Consider the following 27,044-nt stretch of genomic DNA (forward strand, 5'->3'; position numbering starts at 1 on the left):
TGTCATTCAGCAGCTTCCCAATTTATTTTGTTACTTTAGCCTGAGGTATTTTTTTTTTTACAGTAGCCTGAATAAACTAAGACATGAACATCCTAAGTGAATCTTCTATTCAGCCAGGGTTGAGAACCACTGCCTTAATTCTATTTTTTTTTTTTTTTTGAGACGGAGTCTCGTTCTGTCATCCAGGCTGGAGTGCAATGGTGCATCTTGGCTCACTGCAACCTCTGCCTCCCGGGTTCAAGCAATGCTCCCTACCTCAGCCTCCTGAGTAGTTGGGACTACAGGTGCCTGCCACCACACCCGGCTCATTTTTGTATTTTTAGTAGAGACAGGGTTTTGCCATGTTGACCAGGCTGGTCTCGAACTCCTGACCTCAGGTGATCTGCCCGCCTTGGCCTCCCAAAGTGCTGGGATTACAGGTGTGAGCCACCACACCTGGCCACTGCCTTAATTCTAACGGAACTATCACCTTCCTATTAAAATCATCTCCAATCCATAGGACAGAATTAGTCACTTCTTATCTAAGTGAATAATTTGTACATAACTAATGCATTATGTTGGAATTTTCTAACTTATCTGGCTTCACTCTCCCCCCATCTTCCATTGGAATAAGAATGCTTGAAGGGAAGGGGTGTGTTTCCTCAACGCCTAGGATAAGGCATAAGCCCATCATTACTAAGGAATTACCACGAGGCATTTTAGAATTCTTCAGTAGTTGTTTTGAGAAACCACAAGGCAGCGCTGGGGAATCTGAGATTCCAGCTTGTTCTTCAGCCTTGGGGAGGAAACAGAAAATTTTATGAATGCCACACCTTTCAAGCTCCCTGGAGAAGTCCCCACACTTTCGTCAAGACTGCATAGGATAGTGTGCTGGGTTTTCTGTCTAGTGGCAACTTGGCATCATCTCCCCTTTGAAGCACTCCTTTCTATCACAGGGGCTGGAGGCCTGGGAACTACATTTCCCCAGAATCCCTGCCGATAGGGTTTTTGGTTAAATGTTGCCAGTGAGAGGCACCTGAATAGGGCTTGGAAAATCAAAGATTAACAGAAGCCTTTACTACTCCCAGGACAGTGAAGCAGGTGCAGAAGCTTCAGCAGATGGCAGATACGAGGTTCTGTGAGTGGCTTCCAGGCACCCTTCTGTGAATAATGCCTGCTGGAGACATCTGAGATTACTGTTAGCAGTTTTCTGTTATTCTTGCATTTATTGATTTCTTGAAATGACTTTCTGAACTGATGGCTGATTTCCTGTTGGTCCCCCTTCCCTGGCCCTCCTGATGGGTTTGGAAGGCACTAATTCCCTATGTTAAGTGTCTACTTGAAATACCTAGAGTGGTTTCTCTTCTCCAGATCAAACTGACTGATGTGTATAGTAATTAAGAGCATGAGCTCTGCAGTCAGAAAGCCTGGTTTATTGATTTCTATCCAGATGCTGTACCTCATGCTAGTTGTGTCCTTATGCAAAGAACTTAAAGTTGCTCTGCCTTCTGTTTCCTCATCTGTAAAATGGAAAAACGAGAGTGTTTACCTCCTAGGAATGTTGTAGAAAATGTAGAAAACATTTTATACAGTGTCTGGTATGTAGTAATTAATAAATATTCAGTATTCTAACTGGAATTTTATTACCCATTCCATCTCGTGACAACAACTATGTTACAATTTAAGTCCATTTTTCCTTTTCTTTTTCTTTCTTTTTTTTTGAGACAGAGTCTCACTTTGTTGCCCACGCTGGAGTGCAGTGGTGTGATATCACAGCTCACTGCAGCCTTGACCTCCCAGGCTCAAGTGATCCTCCTGCCTCAGCCCCCCAAGTAGCTGGAACTATAGGTGGCCCACCATGCCTGGCTAATTTTTGTAGGGACGAGAGGTTTTGTTATGTTGCCCAGGCTGGTCTCAAACCCCTGGGCTCAAGTGATCCACCTGCCTCAGCCTCCCAAAGTGCTGGGATTATAGCCATTTACTTTCTCTAACAGAGAAGATAAACTTCTTAATTTCTCGACCACCTCCGACGAGCACATTCTAGGTGCCAGAGATATAAAACTGAAGAAGTCTTCCTTTTCAAGTGTCTCACTGCTTATTGGGAGCAGAAGCAGAAAAGAAAGCCAGCGAGGTGATAAATACTATGGGAGCACAGATGACCATCTTTTTTCCTTGTCAGACAATCCCGGCCCTTTTATTTTTCCTTGTAGTTTTATTCTTCAGTCTGTAGTTCTCTTCTGTATCTCCTACAAGTTCCCCAGTGTCCTTCCAAATTTATAGTCACGTGTGGGACACAGTCCACTCTACAGGCTCTATCGGCATGGACTGTAGGGGGAGAATGACCCGCTTTATGTTGGAAGTCAACAGCTCTGAGAATTAAGGCCTAAGACTCATAACTTAAAGCTTTCTCCACCTAAGCTCATTTAGTCTCTCCTTCCCCAAATGTCTTGAGGAAAAAAGCCATCTGCCTCCTTGTTCAGGACAGCCATGGGGTCATTTAAGACTCATCATGGAATTTTAACAACCTTATCCTACGCTGTGTGGACCAAGATGACCATCTGGCTCCTGTGATTGCAGTGGGGACCACATTGTACCTGGGTATTACAGAGGTGCAGCCATCTCCCCTCCCCCTGCAGCTGTCCAGTTCCTGGAAAACGTGCTCCCAGGACCTTCAGCTGCTTGTGACTAGATGGAGGCTTTCACACTAATCCACTAATCCTCTCTGCCACAAACATCATAAGCAGATCGTATAAACGTGAAGAGGAGAAAAAGACTTCAATGTTCCATATTAAAGAAAAAGCATCCTATGAGCTATTTATTGGCTGGAGATTGGTAGATGATCCTCACACTAAGGCATTTCCATGAATTCATTTTTTTTTTTTTTTGAGACAGGATCTCACTTTGTCATCCAGGCTGGAGTGCAGTGGTGTGATCACAGCTCACTGTAGCCTCAACCTCCTGGTTTCCAGTGATCCTCCCACCTCGGCCTCCCAAAGTGCTGCGATTACAGGCCTGAGCCACCGTGCCCAGCCCATGAATTCAGCTTTAATACTACCACTTTTGCAGCACTTTGCATATTTTCTCTGATACTTCCAGAATTTTTCATTATAAAATGAATCCAGGTGGTTTGAATATAGAAATCAAATAACTCTAATCTCAAAAAAACTCACTATATACCAGGACTTTTTCTTTCTTTCTTTTTTTTTTTTTTGGAGACTGAGTCTTGCTTTATTGCCCAGGCTGAGGTGCAGTGGTGCTATCTTGGCTCACCACAACCTCCGCCTCCCATGTTCAAGTGACTCTCGTGCTTCAGCCTCCCAAGTAGCTGGGATTACAGGTGCCCGCCACCACACCTGGCTAATTTTTGTAATTTTAATAGAGACCGGTTTTCACCATGGTGTGGCCAGGCTGGTCTCAAACTACTGACCTCAAGTGATCTGCCTGCCTCAGACTCCCAAAGTGCTGGGATTACAGGCCTGAGCCACCCCCCTGGCCTTTCTTTTTTAAAAATAGAGTTGAAAATTAGGCCAAGTATATTGAGAGTTCTAAATCCATTGTCAGGTACATACAACTGGCTTTTGCAATGAGAAACCTGATTACCCTGCCAACATGCCTCTCTATACACCAATTACATTCTACTGGGAGTTGTTCAACTCATGGTGACACAGAATGTGTCAAATAATCCATGTAAATTAAGCCTTGCCATATCCATTGCAGAAGAGGGGTGCATTTACTGGGTTGGAAGTGGTGTCACCAGGACCAGTCAAGGCCACTCCTTAAGAAAGGTTCAGCATTTCGTCATGGTTTTATATCAGGTATATTTCGAGTTTATATAAAAAAAGAGTAAAACTGCAGAATCAAGTCCTTTGTTGCCTTCCTAACTTTTTAAACATATTCATCTATTTCTCTTTCAGCTGGAAGAAACGAATCTTAAGTGCAAGAAAAAAAATTCCTGTGAAAAACTCTAAGTGGGAATGTACACTTCTGAGATAGGATCAGACTACAGAATCGTGTTGCTTCTGCTTAGTGCTTAAGAAAATAACCAGGAAAATAACGATCTATTTAGTTACTATCCTGGAAGTCATGGTGTCCATACTGCTAAAGTGGGTCTATTCACTGATGGAGGACAGGAGAGTAGGGATAAAAACAGACAGGATCCAGGCCGGGCATGGTGGCTCAAACCTGTAATCCCAGTAGGCTGTGGGAGGCGGAGGCGGGCGGATCATGAGGTCAGGAGATCGAGACCATCCTGGCTAACACAGTGAAACCCTGTCTCCACTAAAAATACAAAAAAAATTAGCCGGGCTTGGTGGTGGGTGCCTGTGGTCCCAGCTACTCAGGAGGCTGAAGCAGGAGAATGGCATGAACCCAGGAGGTGGAGGTTGCTATGAGCCGAGATTGCGCCACTGCACTCCAGCCTGGGCGACACAGCGAGACTCCATCTAAAAAAGAAAGCAGACAGGATCCCAGTCCAATGCAGACTTTCTGACTTTCCTATTTTAGATGAGTCAAGAGTCCTGATCCACAGTTTCAATTAAAATGACAGAAAGTCAACTGATTTCAGAGCCAACACCAAATAACACTGTGAAGGAAGTTGAGTTTACCTTTGAAAACCCCTACCACTTCAGGTGCACACTCCCTCTCCAGGACTCATACTCCCATGTAGACTATTCCTTTCTGACCAAGGAACTGGAGCTATTCTCATGGTCTGGAATGGGTCTCCTTTCCTGCCTACTTGCTAAAGTGTTTCTCTTCTCAGTCCCATACCCTTTGGATTAGTTGTGAGCCAGCCATATTGCATATTGAAGAGTTGGTAAGATTTGACTCCTTCTAACAGGTTCCCAAGCTCTATTGACCTGTAATTGCAAAAAAATACAAATAAACAAAACCCCAACAGCAACAAAGATCCTGAGGGAGTGACATTAATGGTAGAATTTTTAAGGTACAGCGGTAGCCCCCAAATGGGCCATTTTTCCTTCGTCTAATCTTATTGCATGGCAAATATAGACAGCAGCAGGCATTCCTGACTGAGAACCCTGGTGATGGCCTGATGGAAGCAGAGATGAGACTGTCTGATCCACTCCAGGCAGCATGGTCCCTAAAGGGCCCTCTACAGCTGGGAGCCTACCCTGTTCTGTAATAACAGCACATCAGCAACCTCTATCATTGTGGCAATGGTAATCAATTATTTAAGTCATATTTCATTGATTGCCTTTATGTGCCAGGCATGTTGCCAGCCAATGCAAACCAATGATGAATAAGAAATGGTTCCTCCCTTAGGGAGCTCCAGTCTGGAAGGGAACTCAGGCTCACTGAATTTTCTTATCCAGGCAACAAACTGTCCCAGGATCTTTTAAACAGTTTCCTGAGTGCAATGAGTATGTAACATTAAACTCAGAACAAAGAGAAGGATCTAGGAATGCAATTTCCTATGTGGCCAAGAGATGTGTTCCTACCACAAACGTATTCCTGGCTTCTGAGGCACTTTGATCATTGTCACCCATGCAGCCATTTTTAATAGTAAATAGCTAAATATTCAGAAATAGGCACTTCACAATTATTTATTTGATTTGGGTAGTGTCAGGCTAGGGAAACACTACCAGGACACCAAGACAAGAAGAGAAATGTCCCGGTATGGCAGGGGCCAGATGCGGGAGAAGGAGGACCAGTTTTATCAAATGAGCCAGGTGGGTAATGGGAGTGAGTGGGAGCTTCAAGTCATGGAGAACAGACGGAGTGTTCTAAGAACTCAGCGAGGACACTCTTCAAGCCACGAGGCTGAGCTCCTAGAACTCTAGGAGACAGGAGCTAGAGGAGAGGTGGGCTCTCACTGGCCTGTGGAATAAAGAGGCTGATGAACCTTCCCAAGCGAGGGTCTCATAAGCAGGGAGGAAAGTATGGGGCTTAGAGGGAGAATCAGGCTGGTGGCCAGTCAGCTGTTGTTATTTATAAATATGCTTTTATAGTAGTTTTAGATTTACAGAAAAGTTACCAAGAGAACACAGAGGGTTCTCGAATACTCCGTGTCCAGTTTTCCTTGTCCTTAGGATCTCACAGCAGAATGATACCTTTGTCACAATGAATACACCTATATTGCTATGATAACGTAAGTCCATTTGAAATGGAGTCTTGCTGTCACCCAGGCTGGAGTGCAGCGGCGTGATCTCAGCTTACTGCGACCTCCGCCTCCCAGGTTCAAGCTGTTCTCCTGCCTCAGCTTCCTGAGTAGCTGGAACTACAGGTGCCCGCCACCACGCCCGGCTAATTTTTTGTATTTTTAGTAGAGACAGGGTTTCACCATGTTAGCCAGGATGGTCTTGATCTCCTGACCTCGTGATCCGCCCGCCTCGGCCTCCCAAAATGCTGGGATTACAGGTGTGAGCCACTGCGCCCGGCCCCAGTCATTTATTTCTATCAGTATGGACTCTTGCATGCTTTCTTGCTTTGGATTATAATCCAATACTAGTCAACTGTTCCTGAATCACATATAAGGTACTACACTATAGTGGTGCAGGCACTCTGTACATACAGCAAAGGGGCAGAATTACCATGTGCTGCCCATGGTAGTGATGGACACAAATCAAAGGCTTATCATTACCTGTGCAAAGTGGTTAAAATTCTGGCCAAAAAGACATTTTCAGTCCCAACAATGCAATCAGATGCTTGACCAGCAAAAGCAGTATACTTTCCAAATTATAGGTATCTGCATATCCACACATATACCTTAAAACTACTGGGGGCATTCAATTGCCAAATCAAATGGACACCTTGGTCTCCTTGTCTTGCTTGGTCACTCTGATTTATGTGACATTTCGTGTATTCCTTCATTGAGCTGTTCTTGTGCAGCTTCTCTGATTCTCGAGGCGCTCTTTCTTTTCCTTTGATGATTCTACCCCTTTCTGGCCACCCTTCAGAGCTGCTGTCACCCTAGGATCCAGCCTCAGTTTTCTTCTGAGGTCTCTCATGTCCTCATCCACTCCCAACCATGACATCCATGACTGCTTCCTCCAAGTGCCACCCCCTCAGGCCACTGCGCCTGGGCATCTCTGCACTGTGGCTTCCTGGAGGCTCGAGCTCATATTTTATCTCACGGGCATCTTCAGCATCTAGGAAAATGCCCGGCATGCAATCACCACACAATACATGTTTGTTGAGCCAATAAGTTAATCCCTACTTGGATGTGCCTCCACCTTGACTGGCCTCAAACCAGAACCTATTACCTCCCCACCTGGAATCCAACGAGCACCCACCTGGTCCTCTGCACGTGGGTTTTGACTTCCTCTCTCTCCTCCCTACAGACAACAAAACTCCTAGCAGTGTCCATCTTATTTCTCAAGCTTTTCTTGGAATTCCTCCCTTTCTCCATCCCTTGTGACGCTGCTTCGGTTTACATTTCATTTCTCACTGGCATAACTAACTCCTCTCTTCAGTCCCTTCTCCAGGCTCTATTTCCCACCTTGCTGCAGTCCCCCTATGATTTAAATTCCTAACACTGGCTGCTTCTTAGGGTAGACAAGGCTCTTCATGGTTGGCCTCAGCTGACTGCAGCTGCTGCCTGGTCCCAGCCCTGTAACTCAATACTGGAATGATGCAAAGTCTTTATAGTTCCACTTCTCTGAGTCTCGGCCTGGGCTGCCCTTCCTGCCTGATGCCCTTCTCCCTGTTCTCATTTATTACTCACTCCTCAAAGACCACCCCAAAGGGCACAGCTTTTTGGTGCTCAGTGACCTTATTGAATTACCCTCTGCTGTACCCATGTCTATTAGTGCACTTGCCACTCCACACTGGAATGATTAGTCTTCATGTCTGTCTCATCTGCCTACTCATGTGCTTCTCAGTTGACAGTACTGTCTGAGCCTTACTCCTTTCTGTATCTCCAGTGCCTTGGAGACACAGGTATTTATTTAATTGCAAAAAAAAAAAAAAAAAAAAAAAAAAAGAGCATTCACCCCTTCAAAATAGGAGACAAGACCTGCAAAGAGCACAGTCGATCCACGACTCCAAATGGAATGGAATACATTTAAAATACATCTGGAGTGGGCAGAAAAAGAAAAATGAGCTCAAAATAAGTTATAAAAGCTTACTTTAAAAAACAACACTTAGAGGCCAAGGCAGGTGGATCACCTGAGGTCAGGAGTTCGAGACCAGCATGACCAATATGGTGAGACCCCATCTCTACCAAAAATACAAAAATTAGCTGGGCATGATGGTATGTGCCTGTAGTCCCAGCTACTTGGGAGGCTGGGACAGGAGAATTGCTTGAACCTGGGAGGTGGAGGTTGCAGTGAGCCGAGATCACACGACTGCACTCCAGCCTGGGTGACAGAGCGAGACTCTGTCTCAGAAAACAAACAAACCCCCCCACCCCCAAAAAAACCCCACAACACCTAAATTTATAATAACCACAATCTTTATTATTATTATTATTATTATTATTATTATTATTATTATTATTTGAGACAGTCTCGCTCTGTCGCCCAGGCTGGAGTGCAGTGGCGCGATCTCGGCTCACTGCAAGCTCCGCCTCCCGGGTTCACGCCATTTTCCTGCCTCAGCCTCCCGAGTAGCTGGGACTACAGGCACCCGCCACCACGCCCGGCTAATTTTTTTGTATTTTTAGTAGAGATGGGGTTTCACCGTGTTAGCCAGGATGGTCTCGATCTCCTGACCTCGTGATCCGCCCGCCTCGGCCTCCCAAAGTGCTGGGATTACAGGCGTGAGCCACCACGCTCGGCCAATAACCACAATCTTTAAAGTTCATTGTCTATTAACTTTAAAAACAAAGGAATGGTTGGGCAGATTTGTCTATTATGGAATCAGACCAGCAGCAGGAAGGGCTCAATTGGAAAGTGCTGAGAATCCCACGGCTTCGATCGGTTGTATGGGTGCTTATGAAATAAAAGTTGCAAGAATGAGTGAACATGTACTCCTGTTAGAATCCATGTACGACTTTTTAGCCAGAGCTTCTCCCAGAAAAAATCAGACTTTTCACAAATATATTTTGGTTAAAAGTATACTAACCCAAGGTAAGAATTTTTTTTTTTTCAAAAAAAGAAAATCTAATGTGTATTTTGAAGAGTTTATACTCAGGCATAGTGGAGATCCCTTCTTTCTGTTTTCTTGGTGGGAAAGGCAGAAGCAGAGAGGTCAGGAGAAAGGAGATGGGGACGGATAACAGCATGGTGGGCAGTGCCAGGCATGCTGGGTGTGTTTCTGTTTGAATGTCCAGGCTGTGACAAAGGGAAGTAAGGAATGCATGTTGGAGGGACCCATTTCTCATTTGCCCTCATGTCTAGGGCCCAGAGGACCAGTCACTTAGGACAGCTGAAGCCAAGCAACTGTTGACATTTCTGGCCTTGTCTCCTCTTCTCCCTCACCAAAATGATATTAGCTGGGACTTCCTCACCTCCTATCCACAATGCATTCCCTGTTCCAGAAACATCTCAGGCTGCTGGATTACCAAGGCTGGACCCAAACCAGGCTGTGCTCAGTCACTGCTCATTCCGCCCATGTGGAGGAAAAGGTTCAAGGGGATACTTAGAGTCTCATTTGTTCACTGAGGGCTCCATAATAAAGTTCTGCTAAAAATGCATGTTGCTCCTGAACTCCTGCAGCCTGCGGTTTGGGACAGAGTGTTATTTTGGAGCATTCAGAGTTGCTGATGCTATTGTGCCCTTGTCCCCGCTTGGTGTCCAAACTGGAGCATTTCCTTGCTTTCTTAGAGCTGCCTTCACTTGAGGCCACAAAGGACTCGCACTATTAATGAGCTTGTGCACCAGACCAACTGCTGCCTCATAATCCTCAAAACAACCTAGAGAATTTTTTAGAGGTGAAGAGGCTTTAGTGATTATCAAGACCAGCAGTTTATCAACTTTGGTCTTGTTTTTGGCACCGCAACCTTTTCTTCAAAAGAGTCTTAAGTAAAGTTGTATCACTTATCCTTCCTGTGGGGATAGAGTTGCAAAAATGCAAGTGTCACTCTGATGTCTCTTGAGTCAACTGCTCACCTGCTGTCAGTGACAGGGTGTGGGGTAATGGGATGAGCCCTGCAGAGCCCATGATCATAGGATTAGGTCAGGAGGAAGACGAACTCCAGGAAAAAGCTCCCACAATAGTAGGGCTCTTAGCTAGAAGGTGGAAATTCATTCTAACAGAGGTCTTGTTCACAAGCATATTTAATTAGTGGCAAGAGCCCAGGAAAGGACTAAATTCTTGTAATTTAGGATGGTCTAAAGTATGGAAGGCTTTATGTACATTTCTGAACAGCCTTCTCCCCCTTCTTGGAGGCAGCTGTTTCAAGTAGCGACTGGTGCTCAGCCTCTGGAGCTGGCAGCGGAGCCCGTGGGTGTGGCGAGGTCAGAAGAGCTTTGCTCAAAGCCAGGGTGGGTGTGGCTGCCTCTGCAGCCCTGGCCCACACCCTTCCTCTGTGGACTGAGGCCTCCTCCTGCCCAAATCCAGAGAGGACTCTTAACTCTTCCTCCTGCAAGACTCAGTCCCAAGGCCCAGGAAAGCCCCAGTTGCTAACTCTGATTTGGCCCTTGTTGAGCTCTCCATGGACATGGTGGCCCCTGTGGACAGGGAGACAGGAGAGTGGATTCTGCTCTCCCCCTTCTTCAGCATCACGTTCCTCATTCTCACTCTCTCATCTTATTAATGGCGGCAAGAGTTGGGAAGATGTCACAGCATATGGGGGCAGGAGGCAGGGGCTATGCTTCAGACAGGTGAGTGATTGCAAAGGACAGGCTGATGAAGGGCCTGGAAGAAGGTTAGGAGGGGAGTGGGGAGGGAGCAGTGAGCCTCATCCCATGGTGCTGCATGCTGGGCTCCCACCTGCAATGCCTGGCCTCCTTCCTCTGCCAATTCAAATCCTACACACTTTTGAGAGTCCATCCCAAGTATCACTCCTCTAGAAGTCCACCAGACATTCCTGCCTTCCCCGACCTTCCCTCTTCTCTGAACCCTATGGAGGATATGTTGTCTTGGACTGAGCCCTGGCAGATCTTCCTTCACCAGACTTCTGGACTGAGATGATGCATTAAACTCCTCTGTATCCTCCAGAGAGCCAGGTTATCAGGCACTAACCTAATGCAGAAGGAGGTGACTTAGTCTTAAGCTGTATCAGCTTCCTGAAGGCTCAAGTGCCTTCCTGGGACAGGTGGCTCTGTAGGGCTCTGAGACTCTCTGAACAGGTACCTCTATCACAGCTCCTGTCACCTTATATTGAAGTGACCATTCTCACTCCAGCCTCGCCCTCTGCAGGGCAAACTGCTGCAGTCACCAATCCATACTCCCATATGCATTTTGTTATTTCCAGGGCATTGCATAGAATTAACAGGGCAGGAACTCAACAAATGGACAGATTCCCAACAAACCAAATGGAAATTAAGAGACTACTGTGAAGACACAGAAAAAAGAACTGGCTGATGAATAAGGAGAAGTGGGATTTTAAAAAGTTGTGATGCAAATTCCATTATAAACTGGAATCAAAGTCAGCATTAACTAATAGTAACATTAAAATTATTGCCCCAAAATGGGTAATTTTAAATGTGACTGTACAAGAAAAATCTTATTTTTTCTTGTGTACGTTTAATCAGATTCTTGGAAATAAACTTTCTTTCTACTCTTGGATACTGCAAAAACTGGATATGCCCAAATCTAATTTTCATATGGAAATAGTTGATATACTATTAGGATTTTTAATCTAGTATCACCATTTATAGAAATTTTAAATTTTTTTCTATTAAAGAAAAATGCATAATTTTTTGAGAAGTCTAGATGATTTCAGCCAAAGAAAAATGAAAGAGTTGATGAGTATTAATATAGAAATGGCCTCCTGGATACTGCAATTTGTAAGTCTTAGATTTATGGCCGGTTCCTTAAGAGCAGGGAAATGGCTATTGCATGCTCCCAGGCATGATTCTTTTTATCCAATGATTCTAATACTTTTTCTATCTTTCCCTTATTACCAAAAAATAATGTCATTAAAATCTTTTTTAAGGAATAAAAGTGAAAGCCAGTAGGTTTTGGTTCCTTATTCATACACTCAGGTTTGTAAATAAGAAAAACACCCCAAACACTTCTTTTATTTCCCACTGCATCATTATTTCCAATGTTAAGTTATCCCATCTAAAATCTAGCCTTTTCACTGTAGAAATCCACATTTCTCATTCCTTAATACTTTTTTTTTTTTTGAGACAGAGTCTCACTCTGTCACCCAGGGTGCAGTGCAGCGGCACCATCTCGGCTCACTGCAACCGCTGCCTCCCGGGTTCAAGTGATCCTCCTGCCTCAGCCTCCCGAGTAGCTGGGATTACAGGCATGCACCACCACACTCGGCTAATTTTTGTATTTTTAGTAGTGGCCAGCTGGTCTCGAACTCTTGCTCTCAGGTGATCCGCCTGCCTCGGCCTCCCAAAGTACTGGAATTACAAGTGTGAGCCACCGCGTCTGGCCTCATTCCTTAATCCTTTGTTAGAACTTTCTAGTCAATACATTAGAGATAGGTGCTTTAGACGTTCAAAGGATTTTATGCACATTAAGGTCAAATTCTGACTGAAGGGAAGACCCACTGGGCACTCTTGACCCACTAGCCAGACAACAGGTGTAAAGACAGGGGCACATTTGGTGTGAGCTATGAGCAGTAGGCCACAGTGGCAGGCAGAGGAAGCTGGGTGCCCTAGACATGAGTGAGGGTGCTGGGTGTGTGCTGAGGTCACCCAGGCGCCAGGGAGAAGCCAGGGTGGCTGAGGGCTTTTAAGAACATGGACGCCTACTAATCAGTGTGACATTTTTTGCATTGCTCTCCGTAAGTCCTTTCCCTGTCCCACCCCACACGCTGAATCATTCTCTAGAACAATGTTCTCTAACAGAAATATGTGAGTCGCTATGTAGTTTTAAATTTTCTAGGAGCTATGTTAAAAAAGCCAACAAAAACAAAAACAAAAACAAAAACCCAACGAATTTTTTTGTTTGTTTGTTTTGAGACGGAGTCTTGCTCTGTCACTCAGGCTGGAGTACAGCGGTACATTCTTGGCTCACTGAAACCTCAGCCTCCTGGGTTCAAGCGACTCTCCTGACTCAGCCTCCTAAGTAGCTGGGATTACAGGCGCGTGCCACATCCTGGCTAATTTTTGTATTTTTAGTAGAGACAGGGTTTCACTATGTTCGTCGGGCTAGTCTCAAAATCCTGACCTCGTGATCCACCCATATTGGCCTCCCAGAGTGCTGAGATTACAGGTGTGAGCCACTGTGCCTGGAGTTAATTTTAATAATGATTTAATTATTAATTTAAATAATATAATTAGTAAATTTTAATAATATATTTCACTCAATCCAATATGTTGTCCAAATACTGCCATTTAAACATATGAAAATTACTTATGATACTGCTTACATTATTTTAGTGCAAAGTGTTCACAATCATCTGTGTATTTCATACTTAAGCCTACCTCAGCTCAGACTCCCCATTTCAAGTGTTTGACAGCCGCGTGTGCCTGGTAGTTCCTGGAGTGGACAGCACCAGTGGCCCTGGCTGGGCCAGTCCTTCGTATCTTGGGTGTTTCTGGCCCCACGCTCAGTTCTTCACTGGGCGAGTCTCCCAGGGTGGGACCCTCATATACTCAAGGACTTCACTGCTGACAGCTTGATTCATTTAATTCATTAGCTTCCCAACAACCAGGGGATATACTGCTGGCTCCTACATCTATGGGCACACGTGTATTCTTTTTAGTCGGGTCTCTTGAAATAGCCTGGAAATGTGCCCTTAAACTGCAGGGGAAAAAAATCTGGGAAATGCCTTTTCCTGTAAAAGCTCTGATTTTACATGCATGCCCACAGCCACCACAGTCAGGGCTGCCACACAGGACAGACAGGGAGGGGCCGCCCTTCCCTACTTTGCTGTGTTATAAATGAACATGTTCAGTTCCAACAACCTTAATAAGCAGAAGATTTCTCAAATGCACAACACAGTACTCCATTTCTACTTTTTTATTGGTAAGCGATGGGATTTCATTTGTAATGTATAATTCTGAGAACTCGTGGGCACTTACAAGCACTTTAATGCTCTAAGATGATTGAGGTGATGAAGAGACTGCAATAAAATATCTCTGAAACCAAAGATGATCAATCACAGGGTCGTTTTCCCTAGCCAGAGAGCTCTCTAGAATCTATGAAAAGATTACTTACTGGAAAAATGAAAAAAAAAAAAAAAAAAAAAACCAAAAGAAAAAACCAAAAAAAAAAAAACTAAAAACAAAGCCCCAACCACTCCAACAGGGCTCTTTAACTGAACATTAGTCATCCCTTTCCCAAGAAAGACATTCACTCCTCACAGCCTGACAGCCTCAGACAACAGTTAGCTGTCCAAACCCATTCAGACAAAATTGATTATTTTTTTTTTTCATGAGGGGTGCAGATAAAATTCTCAAATGAATTGCCTGAGAAGTCAGTTTGACATAATATCCCATAAAATCTTTGCTGCTTGGAAGAACTATAAAAAGTTTCATTAACATAGAGCTTCATTCCACTCCAACTCTTTGCACCAACTTCATGGCACGTTAGAGCATCAAGGCTCAGGTGATTTACACACAGGGAGCAGAAATCATTGCATCTCAGCCAAAGAGTGTGCAATTTTAAGTCGGTTTATCTAACACTTCTATTACTCAAACTCTGCATTTAATATTTGCAAAAGGTCTAATGCAGGGTGTGCATCGGCATCCTACACAGTTATATCTGCACCCATGTGGTTTTCTACGAAGAGAAGAGAATCAGGTCAAACTTATTATTACACTTGTATTGCTCTTTCTTCCTTCTGTATTAGACATGGTCTCTGGAAGCCCAGAGCATGGACTAACAAGCTCTGCCACATCTTATAGCACAGCATGTGCTTTCTAACTATGTAATAATGAAATTCTTTTTTTTTTTTCTTCTTTGAGTCAGGCTCTTAATTTGTTGCCCAGGCTGGAGTGCAGTGGCTCACTGCAGCCTCAAACTCCTGGGCTAAAGCGATCCTCCCGCCATAGCCTAGTGTAGCTAGGACTACAGGCACGCGCCACCATGCCCAGCTAATTTTAAAATTTTTTTTGTAGAGATGGAGTCTTGCTATGTTGCCCAGCTTGGTCACCAACTCCTGGCTTCAAGTGATCCTGCTACCTTGGCGTCCCAAAGCACTGAGGTTACAGATGTGAACCAGCATGCCTGGCCTGATGAAATTCTTGATGGCTATAGGCAGGGACCTGCCAGCCTTGCAGTTTCCTTTGCTTTCCTCTTCTATCACCCATTTCTTTCTAAGGGAGTGAGGCCCTTGTCATACCCTGAACGTTTTGAAGGCATCAAGTCTCTTAATCCAACTTCTCTTCCCACCTCGGAATCTCAGTCCAGGGCAAAAAGTCCACCTAGCTCTTGATAAGCAGAGACTAGAAGAAGTAGGAGAAAGCTGGCGAGGGCGTGTTTTACAAGAGTTCCATTCAGTTTCCTGCAGCTTTGAGAATCCTAAATGCCACATGGAGTCCTGCCGCCCATTCAGCTGGGCAGCACGGCAGGTGGGGCGAGATGGCCTTCCTGCCCAAATTCTGCCCAACTTCTGCCCATCACTGTCCTGGGTGTGGGAGATTGGGAGGGTGTGTATGTATGGTTGAGATTGTAGATATCTTACTTTGAAAAGGACTTTCCAACCCAAAGAGCAACTGTGAAGAGTCCAGAGTTTTTACAGAGAAAAAAATGCAAGTTTCAGGACTACAGAGCAAATATAGTGAGGAAGAGCAATTTGTAAAATACTAAACTAGGTTTCTGGACATACCTCTACTGTTAACAGTAATTCTTTATTTAAATAGGCAAGACATTCTGCTCTTGCAGAAAGGCCCTTGCGATCAGAATAAGAGGAAAATAGATCCTGGTAAGGACCCAGGTTCTGAGAACACCTTTTAGGGTCTGACATCTCTGCCAGGTGTGAAGAGCTGAGAATCAGTGGATCTGAGTTCTAGCCCTAGTTCTGGTGTTAACTCCTCAGCCATAACTTCCTTGTGCTTTCTTTACAATGAGGATAATAAAACCAGCTTTGTCTTCTTCACAGGCTATTGCTGAAGACAACATGATATAACAGAATTGGAAGTGCTTTCACAAACATTGTTTTATGAACACAAGGTAAGGTAGTGAACAAATACCTGACTTTGTGAATTTGCATGCTGCCAATATATGCACACCTGCATCATAAGGTCTCATTTATGATGCTCTATGTTTGTTTTTTTTCCTTTAAAAATTTTCTGTGTATTCCCAGCTGTTCAAAATATAATTCCAAGTGTGTATCATCTGTAGAATTGGGCCACTGCAGAGCACTATGTTGTTCCTGAACCTAATCCAAAGTTTCAAGAGCTAGCCCATCTCTGAACTTCCCACCAGCATGAAAACCCTAATCTAATCTGTGCAACAATAATCTCTAGATAGGCATCTCTCACACTTGCTTTTGGAGTACTGTTTTAGTAGCTTACTTGTGTTTTTTAAAGTTCATTTCTCCACCCACAGGATAGCTCCATATCTTCCAGCACCACTAATGAGTAAGTATTAGGGCCAAGCTGGTATCTGCAGAGTGCTGACTGGCCAAGAGTCTGCCTGTGACTCATGCCTTAGGCTGTCCAGCATTGGGGTGCTGGGGGGCTGTAGCCATAACATTTGCAGGATTTGGAAATTCCACCTCAAGCTCCAATCCCAGGGTGTTGATTCTGGCTAACCATGTTTATGCAAAGCAATCCAAGCACTTTGACTCACTTTGGGAATCTGGCATTCTTGGGCTTTTGATATTGAGACAGTGGAACACTTTTGTATCAGTTTAGGTTCTGCCAATAATTGCTATCCATTTAAGCACTTGATTTTTTACATATTTACCAGCAATTTCCAAGGCTTTAATGGATAGAGTTAGCACTCTTCTGCAAGGAGAAATTGCTCCACAGTGCTAATAGTCGTGGATTCACAGGCACTCAGTGAGAATATTTTAGGCATAAGCTTAGTTTTATTATTGTACCTTAGAGAAACCTTGTATTTTTAACTAGGTGGTAACTTTTTACTGTATTAGTTAATCAAAAGAAACATAAATATAACCAAAATGTTATTTTTAGTTTGTACTGGATTCTATAAAAATATGATTACCCATTCTAGCTTTATTTTGATGTTAATATTTACATTTAAATAGAAGAAAAACAGTAAAGGGAGCACATCAATGTAAGAAGTGTATGGCTTTAGTAAAATATATAAGAAACTTTGGTAAACAGGGATTTAAAAAACTCTAATCCCTTCACCAACTCAGAATGCCAGTTCCTTACAAAGCTGCATACCTGAGCAACCACACATGTGGTTTCTGTGGATGAGACATTTAAATGATGCAATCATTTTGGGATAACAGTTATATAATATAAAGGTTTCACATGAGTGTCTAGCTGAAAAACCACTGCGTTTTCCTATGAATGCAAAGAAACCTCTGCTCAGGTGTTGGAAGCTGTGCCTCTCCAGCTGCCTGCCACCTTCCACCCCTTCACCTGTGGCTTCCGCTGGTTTCTGATGGGCACCCTTTGATCACTGGGGTCAGTTCAATTTCCTGGGCCACTGGGTCATGGGCAGGACATGAAAATGTAAGAAGAGGGACCATGCGGTTCACCTAAATGACACTCATTTAATAACAACATCAAAATCCTTGATGTGACAGGACCTATCGCCTGGCATACTAAAAGTGGGGAGAGCAATTCTCTCATCTTCTGCTGTAGTTAATGATATCTTCCTAAACCTGCATTAATCATCAAGTGAACTTCTAGGGATAACGTAACTTCTGGGAGAATTTAAACTGAGATTGAATTTGTATCTCAGACGGTAGTGCCCACAGAGGTGGGCAGTGGCACAGGCTTCCTTCAGCTTGTGTCCCAGGTTTATGGGAGAACTCTTCTCCCTGTCCCTCAATTCACACACAAAAGTGCAAAACAGGATTATGGGCATAGGGCATGGGCAATTTCATCTACAGCAGTGCCGATCTCTGCCTCACTCTTTGAGGTCACCACAATGCTTTCCTTCTGTTCAGAACCATAATGGTTTCTGTGTATCAATTGTTTGTGGGCAACTGCTGAAAGGGAATCGAGGGATAAACATGATTCTAACCAATCGCATTCTGTGGTGTCTATGGGCTTCCACCTGTTAACATGGGAAACTTTCTGAATTTAGGTTCATCCCCATCTTGTGGAATTGGATTTCCACCAAGGGTTCCTGCTCCTCATTTAGCGTGGAAGAAAGTGGATTTTGCAAATAACATTCATGATGTTTTGGGCAGTATCTACTCTGCCTGCAAGGTAAGAATGAGTCTGTGGGAGAACATCCAGCTGCTGCAACTTGCTTCAAAGCCTCCTTTTTTTTTTTTTTTGAGACGAAGTCTCGCTCTGTCGCCCAGGCTGGAGTGCAGTGGTGCGATCTCAGCTCAATGCAACCTCCGCCTGCCGGGTTCATGCGATTCTCCTGCCTCAGCCTCCCAAATAGCTGGGATTATAGGCGTGTGCCACCATGCCCGGCTAATTTTTGTATTTTTGATAGAGACAGGGTTTCACCATCTTGGCCAGGCTGGTCTTGAACTCCTGGCCTTGTGATCCACCTGCCTTGGCCTCCTACAGTGCTGGGATTACAGGCGTGAGCCACCGTGCCTGGCCAAAGCCTCTGTTTTATTGGCTTCTCTTTGGTGCTCAAAATTCCCACGTTCACATTACCTTGTTTATTTGAGGTAAAGGCTTTCATCAAAATCTTCAGTTAAGATAAAAATGGCAGGAAGATAAAGGTGGGGACTTACAAATTACATTCTTAAAAGCCACCCACATTTTGGTTTATATCTCTTATTAAATCTGCAGTACAAATTGGTTTGTCAGCTCTGTTTACCTGAAAGTGTCCTGAGGGAACAGAACACATGGCAGAGAAGCCTGTCTGGCAGAATTAAGGACTAGGAGCTGGGAAGTTCCAGAGCTTAGAACAACGTCCAGAAGACAGACTTGCAATTGTGCTGCAGAAGGACAAACTGTTGCCTGTTGGCAGAAGATGGGGACAGGGGGAAGGAGGAAGCACAGAAGGAGGAACAGAAAGGGCCAAAGACAATGTCTGTCTGTTGTGAGGTCCACTGGGGCTGGCCTTGGTCACCTGCCTGACCTCCTCGGAGTGAGCGTGAGACGGTCACGTGTACTCAGGGATTGAGGAGGCCCAATGCTTTCACACTTCGTAAATTCCCGGGGAACACTCCACACTCATACTGAAAGGGACAGTGTGGCCCTGACTGACAGCATGTCCAGGACCAGAGTACTAGGCATGCTGGACTCCATAGGATTTAGAATGCCACAGTGGCCGGAGCAGCAAGCTGGCACACTGGGTTAGATGGCAAAGTGAGGATGTGTGGGTGTGGACGTGGGTGTGTGCGCAAGGTGGCGGCAGGATAGACTGGTAACACTCACTCCCATGCATTTTCAGCTTAGGCTACAAATGACAAATGGCACACCAAAGTGAGGTGTGGTCGTGCAGACAGAAAAAGCAAGGGCCTCCTAATGCCCAGGAAGCAAAAAGGAAAGAACGTCTCTTCGGTACCTCATGACTTCCTGCTAGAGGCCTGAAGTCACTGGCACACTGGAGGATTCTGTTAGTATTCTCATCAGGTATGCTGTTTATTAGACAGATTAAGACTAAAAGAAAATACACAAAAATAGAAAGCTGCTTCTTTGAGAATGATGAGTATGTTTTCAAAAACTTTAAATTTTAAATATTTATAGATTCACATGAAGGTGTCACAAAATGTACAGGGAAGTCCTGAACACTCTTCACCCAGCCTCTGCCAAGGTTAGTGTCATGAGTAACTGTAGTAAAATGTCGAAACCAGGAAACTGACATTAGAACAATCCACAGAGCTTATTCAGATTTCAACAGTTATGCATGGACTCATTTGTGCATGTGTGTGCACGTAGCTATATGTAATTTTATCACACGTGTAGCTACACGTAACAGTCTACCACAATCAAAGTATTTAACCACACCATCACCACAAACGTCTTTCATGCCAGCCCTGTATAGCCACCCCTCAACCCCAACCCTAACCACAGGTAACCACTGATCTGTTCTCCGTCTCTATAGTTATGCTATTTCACAAAGGTTACATACGTGGAATGTGAAGTATCTATCCTTTTGAAATTGGCTTTTTTTCCACTCAGCATAAATTCCCTGAGATCCATCCAAGTTGTATGTATTAACCGTTCATTCCTTTTATTGCTGGGTAGCATTCAATGGACTTTTAGGTAGTTTCTGGTTCTTGGCTATTGCAAATAAAGCTGCTATGAGCCTTCACGTACAAGTTGCTGTGTGAAAATATATTTTTATTTCTCTGGGATATATGCCCAAGAGTGCAACCGCTGGGTCCATTTTCAGCTATAAAAGGAACTACCAAATTATTTTCTGGAGTGTCTATACCATTTTACATTTTCACCAGCAATATGTTAGTGAGCCAGTTACTCCACATCCTTGCCAGTGTTTGGTGTTATCATTATTTTAGACATTCTGGTAGGTATGTACTGGTATCTCATCTCATTGTGGTTTTAATATGCATTTTCTTTTCTTTTTTGAGACAGAGTCTCACTCTGTCACTCAGCTGGAGTGCAGTGGCGCCATCCCAGCTCACCACAACCTCCGCCTCCCAGGTTCAAGTGATTCTCCTGCCTCAGCCTCCTGAGTAGCTGGGATTACAGGTGTGGGCCACCACACTCAGCTAATTTTTGTATTTTTAGTAGAGACAGGGTTTCACCATGTTAGCCAGGCTGGTCTCGAACCCCTGACTCAAGTGATCTGCCTGCCTCAGCCTCCTGAAGTGCTGGGATTACAGGTGTGAGCCACCATGCCTGGCCTTAAGTTGTATTTGCTAATGGCTAATGAAGTTCAGTATCTTTTCATGTGCTTATTTGCCATCTGTATATTCACTTCAATGAAATGTCTGTGTATGTCTTTCATCCATTGTTGTAACTGGATGGTTTCTTTAATGCTAAGGTCTGGGAGTTCTTTATATATTCCACATACAAGCCCTTTGTTGAATATGTGGTTTACAAATAGTTTCTCCCAGGCCATAATTTCTCTTGACATCCTCTTAGTAGGTCTTTCACAGAGCAAAAGGTTTTTAATATTGATGAAGTCCAATTTACCAGTTTTTCCTTTTATGGATCAAGCTTTTTGTGTCAAGTCAGAGAACTCTTCATCCATTTCCAGGTCCCAAAGATATTTTCTTATGTTTTCATATTAGTTTCCTATTGCTGCTATAAGAAATTACACAAATTTGGTAGCTTAAAACACCACAAGTATATTTACCATTCTGCAGGTGAGAAGTCCAAAATCAGTATCACTGGGCTAACATTAAGATGATGCAGGGCTGTGTTCCTTCTGAGGCCTCTAGGAGAGAATCCATTTCCCTGTTTTTTCCAGTTTCTAGAGGCGGCCTGCCTTTCTGGACTCATGGCCCCTTTTTCCATCTTCAAAGCCAGCAGCATTTCCAAATCTGTCACTGGCTCTGCAAAGTTCCTTCTGCCACGTAAGGTAACACAATCACAGGTTTTGGGGATGAGCATGTGAATGATACGGTGGGGGGCATTATTCTATCACAGTTTTTTTCTAGAAGTTCGAATGCATTTTGAGTTAATTTTTGGATACGATGTGAAGTTTGGATTGAAGTTCATTTTATTTTAGCCTATGAATGTCCGATTGTTTCAACACCATTCATTGAAAACGTTCCACTCCACCAATCTCCGTCTTTTAATTGATGTATTTAGACCATTTACATTAAAAGTAATTATTGACGTGTTAGGATTGAAGTCTGCCATTTTCTTCGTTTACTGTTTTATTCCTTTTGTTTCTCATTTCTCTCTTTTTTTTTTTCTTTTCTTGCCTTCATGTGGGTACTTGAACATTTTTCTTCTTTTTTCTTTTTGTTTAGAGACAGAGTCTCACTCTGTCACCCAGGCTGGAGTGCAGTGGCATGATCATAGCTCACTACATCCTCACACATCTGGCCTCAAGCAATGCTTTTGCCTTGGCCTCCCAGAGCACTGGGATTACAGGCATGAGTCACTGCAACTGGCCTTGAACATTTCTTAGAGTTGCATTTTGATTTACTTATAATGTTTCTGAGTACACTGCTTTGTACACAGTTTCCTTAGGGGTTGTTCTAAGTATTGCCATACACATAGGTAACTTATCACAGCTTACTGGTGTCAATGTTTTACCACTTCCAGTGAGGTGTAGAGACCTTACCTCCATTTAGATCTCTGTATCCCCTCCAGTTTTAAAATACAATTATCTTAAGTATTTCTTCCACATGCACTGACCAGCACCATCAGATGTCATTATAACTTCTGCATCACCATTTCTTTCATATGATGAAAGAAGCTCATGAGATAAAGAATAGTCTAGTATGTTTACTTCTATTTTTACTCATCCTGTTCTCCCTGCTCTGAAAATCTCAGCTTTGGGCTTTTACCATTTTCTTTCTGGTGGAGAAGTTCCTTTAGCTATTCTTTAAGGGTAGATCTACTAGAAACAAGTTCTCTTAGTTTTCCTGCAGCCATGCTGGAGACCTGCATGCCTTAAAGTCATCAGTGGCTGAGCCTCCTGGAAGACCTAGCACTACCCACGTGGCACTCTGTAGACACTAACATGTGCCACTTCAGCTCCTGGCACCCTGATAATGGCCAACACCAGGTGGCAAGGTGCAGGCTAGGCTCCCCTTGCCCACTCTTGGTCTTGGGCCCAAGGAAATTAGAGTTGAGGCCTATTCTCAAGAGAGACAGATCCCTTAGGAGGTCAATCAAGGATAGCAGTGCCGTGAAAACTATCTTCAATAGCTCAGCTGGGTCAGAACAGTGTTCTAGAAGTTTGAGTCTAAAATATGTGAGCCCTGAAATCCTTCAACTTCTAGGGTGACCTTGAGGTGTCAGAGCTATTCCTATATCCAGTAATACTCTATTGGCACAGGCCCCAGGCCTGAAGGTACCACATATAACACACCCTCATTCATGACCAGGGGTGTACCTTACAGGAACAAGAATATAACCATTCATTAGGGCTCAGACCTCAGATGTCAAAAACTCTTAGCAGAAGGATTGGCTAAGAGCTCCAGGAAGACATCAGAGTTAGAGATCTCGATCTGGGAGGCATCTGGACAGAGATGAAAATTGCAGCTATAGGAATGCATGAGATCACCATGAGAAGAAGGTAGAGGAAAAAAACCAAAACAGACCCAAGGCTGAACCCTGGTAGGAATATCAAGAGGATATAGTAGGATGGCAGCAAAGAATAGACGGTTCGAAGAAGGCCTTGTCAATGGGGTTCCATGCTGCAAAGAGGTCAAGGAAGTTAAAGACTGGGAAGATGTCAGAGGCTTGGCCCAGGGGCAACTAAACCATGGAGGCCCACAATGCACAGATGCTGGGAACCAGCTGTGAGGGAGGAAGGGCTGGTGAGAAATTAAAGGATGGGAAAGGAGAGAGTGCTCAGTAGTCACAATGGTTGATGGATTTGCCTGTGTTTGTATTGTTTGGGAAAATATGGAAATGTTATAAGCCTGAGTAGGAAGAACAATTAAGAAAACAACAAGAGAGGGGCTGGGAGAGGAGGGGGAGAGAAAGAATGAGGTCAACGGCACCAGAGGAGAAAAGGATCAGGCATTTCTTCCTGAAATGGGAGAGAAGCAGGCATGAATCAAGCTAGAAATAAGTTTAAGGTGAAAAAAAAATAGAAATTTAGGATGCTGCTCCAAATGAACTACACAGCTGACTAGCTTATTTTTCTTTTGCATTAAAAAACCTTTGGGTTGGCTGGGCATGGTGGCTCACGTCTGCATTCCCAGCACTTTGGGAGGCCAAGGTGGGTGGATCACCTGAGGTCACGAGTTTGAGATCAGCCTGGCCAACATGGTGAAACCCTGTCTCTACTAAAAATACAAAAATTAGCAGGGCATGGTGACGGGCACCTGTAATGCCAGTTACTCAGGAGGCTGAGGCAGGAGGATCACTTGAACCCAGGAGGCGGAGGTTGCAGTGAGCCGAGATCGTGTCATTGTACTCCAGCCTGGGTGACAAGAGCAAAACTGCGCCTCAAAAAAAAAAAAAAAAAAAAAAAAAACACGCCCTTTGGGTTGCTGAAATTAATGTGATCCTGTTGGGGCAATGGTGGTTTCCAAATCTGACCAAACATCAAAATCGATTAAGAAACTTTGCAAAAATACAGCTTCCCAGGCCCCAACCCAGCCACACTTAAGCAGAATCCCTGGTAGAGGGGGCCCAGGAAGCAGCATTTTAAAGTTTCTTCAGTGATTTAGAGGGTTAAACCAGGTTTGGGACCTCTCGAGTTACGATGTTCAACCATGTATGTATATTAGAATCATAAGGCAGGTATTGGTAGACCCAGACTCTCCAGATTACAGGTATTAATATTTTTAAAAAGCTCCACAAGTGCTCTGATGTACACCCTGGTTATAAACCATAGTCAGGGGACTGGTTTGGAAAAATAAACTATCTGGATAGGATACTTGACTTTACCATACCGATTGGTCCTCTGTCATTCAGATTGCCTGACAATTAACTTTACACTTTTCTCCTATTAAAACAGCACCTGCTTCTATCCGGGCTGTCACTGGTGGGCTGATGGTTCCCTGTGGCTTCTCAGCGGATTTCTCCAGGCAGCCAGGCTTGTGGGCTTACCATCTCTGGCCCTCTGGAAAGAGCCTGGCTTTGGAAGTTTTTGTAGTATCTTTAATGTAAAGTATACAAAATTTCATTGTTCTTTATCTGAACTAACCACACAATGCACCTTATAAAAGAAACAGTAAGACACAGAATGGAGGAAGGACTATAGAAAAGGCAATAATAGTTCATATTTCACTGATTAGAAAAAAATATTATCAGGCAGACCCATAATTAATTTGGTGAGAAAATTCCTTGCACCATTAGGCCGATTTTTTGTTTTAAAGCAGCAGTAACATCACCAAACAACTACAGAAATGAGAGTCTCGCATATAGCTGTTTGGCTTTGAGGGAAGCTGTAAGCCCAGCCCTCTAAATGCCTCTCAAAGAAATACAAATTCTTCTTTTATCTAAAATGATGGTGTGATCCAATTCCTGCTCCAGCAGCCCCAACATATCATCTGTTGGACTCTTTAAAGTTTACGGCACAGACAGAAACTGTCAGTTCCTCTCCTCTTTTATAGGACATTCACATTTGCATATTCAGCAGACAGCACAAGCCTCAAAGGCCATATTCCCCAGAATGTAATCATCCTACTTTTGAAATACCGAAGATATAATAGTACAATGAAAATATTCTTACCCCGATGAAGGCTGGCTCCAGTTGTGGCTTAGCAAGTCAAAAACTAGTAAACTTGCCTGTAACAACATCCTAAAATTCCAAAGGTTATTCTTCCCCATCCACAGTTAAAAAGCCATCTCCTACAGAACAGTGTCATATCTGTGACATGTCCAAGATTAAAGGAAGAGCCTTCTTGCTTTTAGTAATTTGTCTGGTTAGAGATTAAAGAAAAAAAAATCAATCTTGAAGCTGTCAGTTAATATTTTTAAATTAAAAAAGCCATCTTCATGCTTCATGGGAGAAATGTGTGATTTTTAAACAGAGGTAAATTCCTCTTCGTATCAAGTATCAGATAATTTTTTTGCATTTCAGCACGAGGCAAACAAACAAAAGGTTATCCACGAAGTTTCAAACGCGTCTTAGTAACATAAACTGAAGTTAGGTAGCCTTCTTTGATATTGAATTACCAAAGTATCTCGCTGAAAAAAAAATCCCCCTTGCAATTAATAAACAAGTTGTGGTATTTTAACAAAGTTCCAAAGCTAAGAATCTTCACATTCCAAATCTTTCCATTCCTGGAAGAGCTTTGGTATTTAGATGTTAATAGGATGCCTGCCTTTTTTTTTTTTTTCTTTTTTTGGCCAATCTTCAGGCTAAAGAGTCTGTGAAGCAGACTTTTTCCATCCTATGACCTCAGTTTTAGGATTTCTTTCTTGCAAAATTTAGTTATTTTGGTTGGCAGATTGCCAGAATTCATTCTTATTTTCTTTCTCCTTCTGGTACTTTCTCCCTTTACCCCCTTCTGTTTCTCTCCCTTCTTCACCTATCTTGTATTATTCTCTGAATTGAATTAAGAATTTAAAGTCCGGTTGGTGGACTGGACTACAGTCTCTATGATGTTTGGTAGGGTTGTTAGAATTAGCAAATGAAAATACAGGATGCCTAGTTAAATTTGAATTTCAGGTAAACAACAAACAAATTTTTAGCATAAGTATGTCCCAAATATTGCATGAGACACATTTACACTACAAATTATTTTCAAGTATTGCATGGGACATACATATTGTAAAAAATTACTGTTTATCTGAAATTCAAATTTAACTGGGCGTCTTATATTTTATCTGGCAACACTACTTTGGAGGTTCAATGGAAGGGATTTTAAAAAAAACAAAGGCATCCATTTACAACTCCTGGAAGAAGAGAAATTTCCACTCCTATCCTCTTGAACGCTTTTTGTCTAGATGTAATGTTCTTGATTACCTCATTTTAGTTTATTTTTGACCCAGTAAGTTGTACTAAAAGCTCCACAGAGCATGTCACATCCTTATATTAAAGAAGTCCATCCCAGGTTTCAGGTCTCACTCGGTGTCAGGCCAGGCCAGAGCTTGCAAAATTGGTCCCCCAGGCAACATGGGACCTTGGCGCAGTAACAGAACAATGCAAATGCTCCAGTTTTAATTTTTTCCTTCAAAATCTGAACACCAAATTTAGTACTTTTGAAGGCACTGATATAGTTTTCTCTCCTCAGTGCTCACTTTGGGGCAATTTAGCATGATTAGTAATAGTGATTATTAGAAAACCCAATAGAATTCACATGAATGTTGAAATGTAATAAAATGATCACTTTTTGGGCATTTTGAAAGGGCAGATAAAAATATTGATATGCTTCTGACATTTAAAGATAAGATGAAGATCTTAATTACATTAATTATTAATTCAGGTGTATT

General features: G+C 43.3%; 1 protein-coding gene and 1 long non-coding RNA gene across 28 annotated transcripts in view, besides 1 other annotated feature; one reads left to right on the forward strand and one right to left on the reverse strand.

Annotated features, from left to right (window-relative positions):
- The window catches only part of AFF3 (ALF transcription elongation factor 3), a 597,172-nt gene that overhangs the window by 136,347 nt on the left and 433,781 nt on the right, over positions 1–27,044 (reverse strand). For 4 of the 26 annotated variants that reach the window (XM_047444289.1, XM_017004085.3, XM_047444288.1 and 1 more), the window contains exon 1: positions 25,339–25,777. The exons of 20 other annotated variants lie outside the window; for them this stretch is intronic. In XM_047444289.1, the coding sequence (XP_047300245.1) occupies positions 25,339–25,436 (98 nt within the window). In that variant the 5' untranslated portion in view covers positions 25,437–25,777. Of the gene's footprint in view, positions 1–687; positions 7,891–25,338; positions 25,778–27,044 lie in introns of those variants that run through there. 2 more of the 26 variants (XM_047444290.1, XM_017004087.3) reach the window with 2 other exon arrangements.
- On the forward strand, positions 10,434–19,815 carry LOC105373504 (uncharacterized). 2 transcript variants are annotated; one of them, XR_007087154.1, is made up of 5 exons: positions 10,434–10,700; positions 16,049–16,119; positions 18,178–18,302; positions 19,456–19,637; positions 19,752–19,815. It is a non-coding gene; the product is annotated as an uncharacterized LOC105373504 (long non-coding RNA). The 2 variants fall into 2 exon arrangements; XR_007087153.1 differs by having other exon boundaries at positions 19,456–19,761.
- Positions 26,268–26,468: a silencer, noted in NCBI's record as "peak3800 fragment used in MPRA reporter construct". NCBI's record gives its function as "represses an SCP1 promoter by STARR-seq MPRAs in K562 erythroleukemia cells {active_cell/tissue: K562}" and the evidence as "EXISTENCE:reporter gene assay evidence [ECO:0000049][PMID:32103011]".

The sequence above is a fragment of the Homo sapiens genome, chromosome 2 (genome assembly GCF_000001405.40).
Source record: "Homo sapiens chromosome 2, GRCh38.p14 Primary Assembly".
NCBI classification, from domain to species: Eukaryota; Metazoa; Chordata; class Mammalia; order Primates; family Hominidae; genus Homo; species Homo sapiens.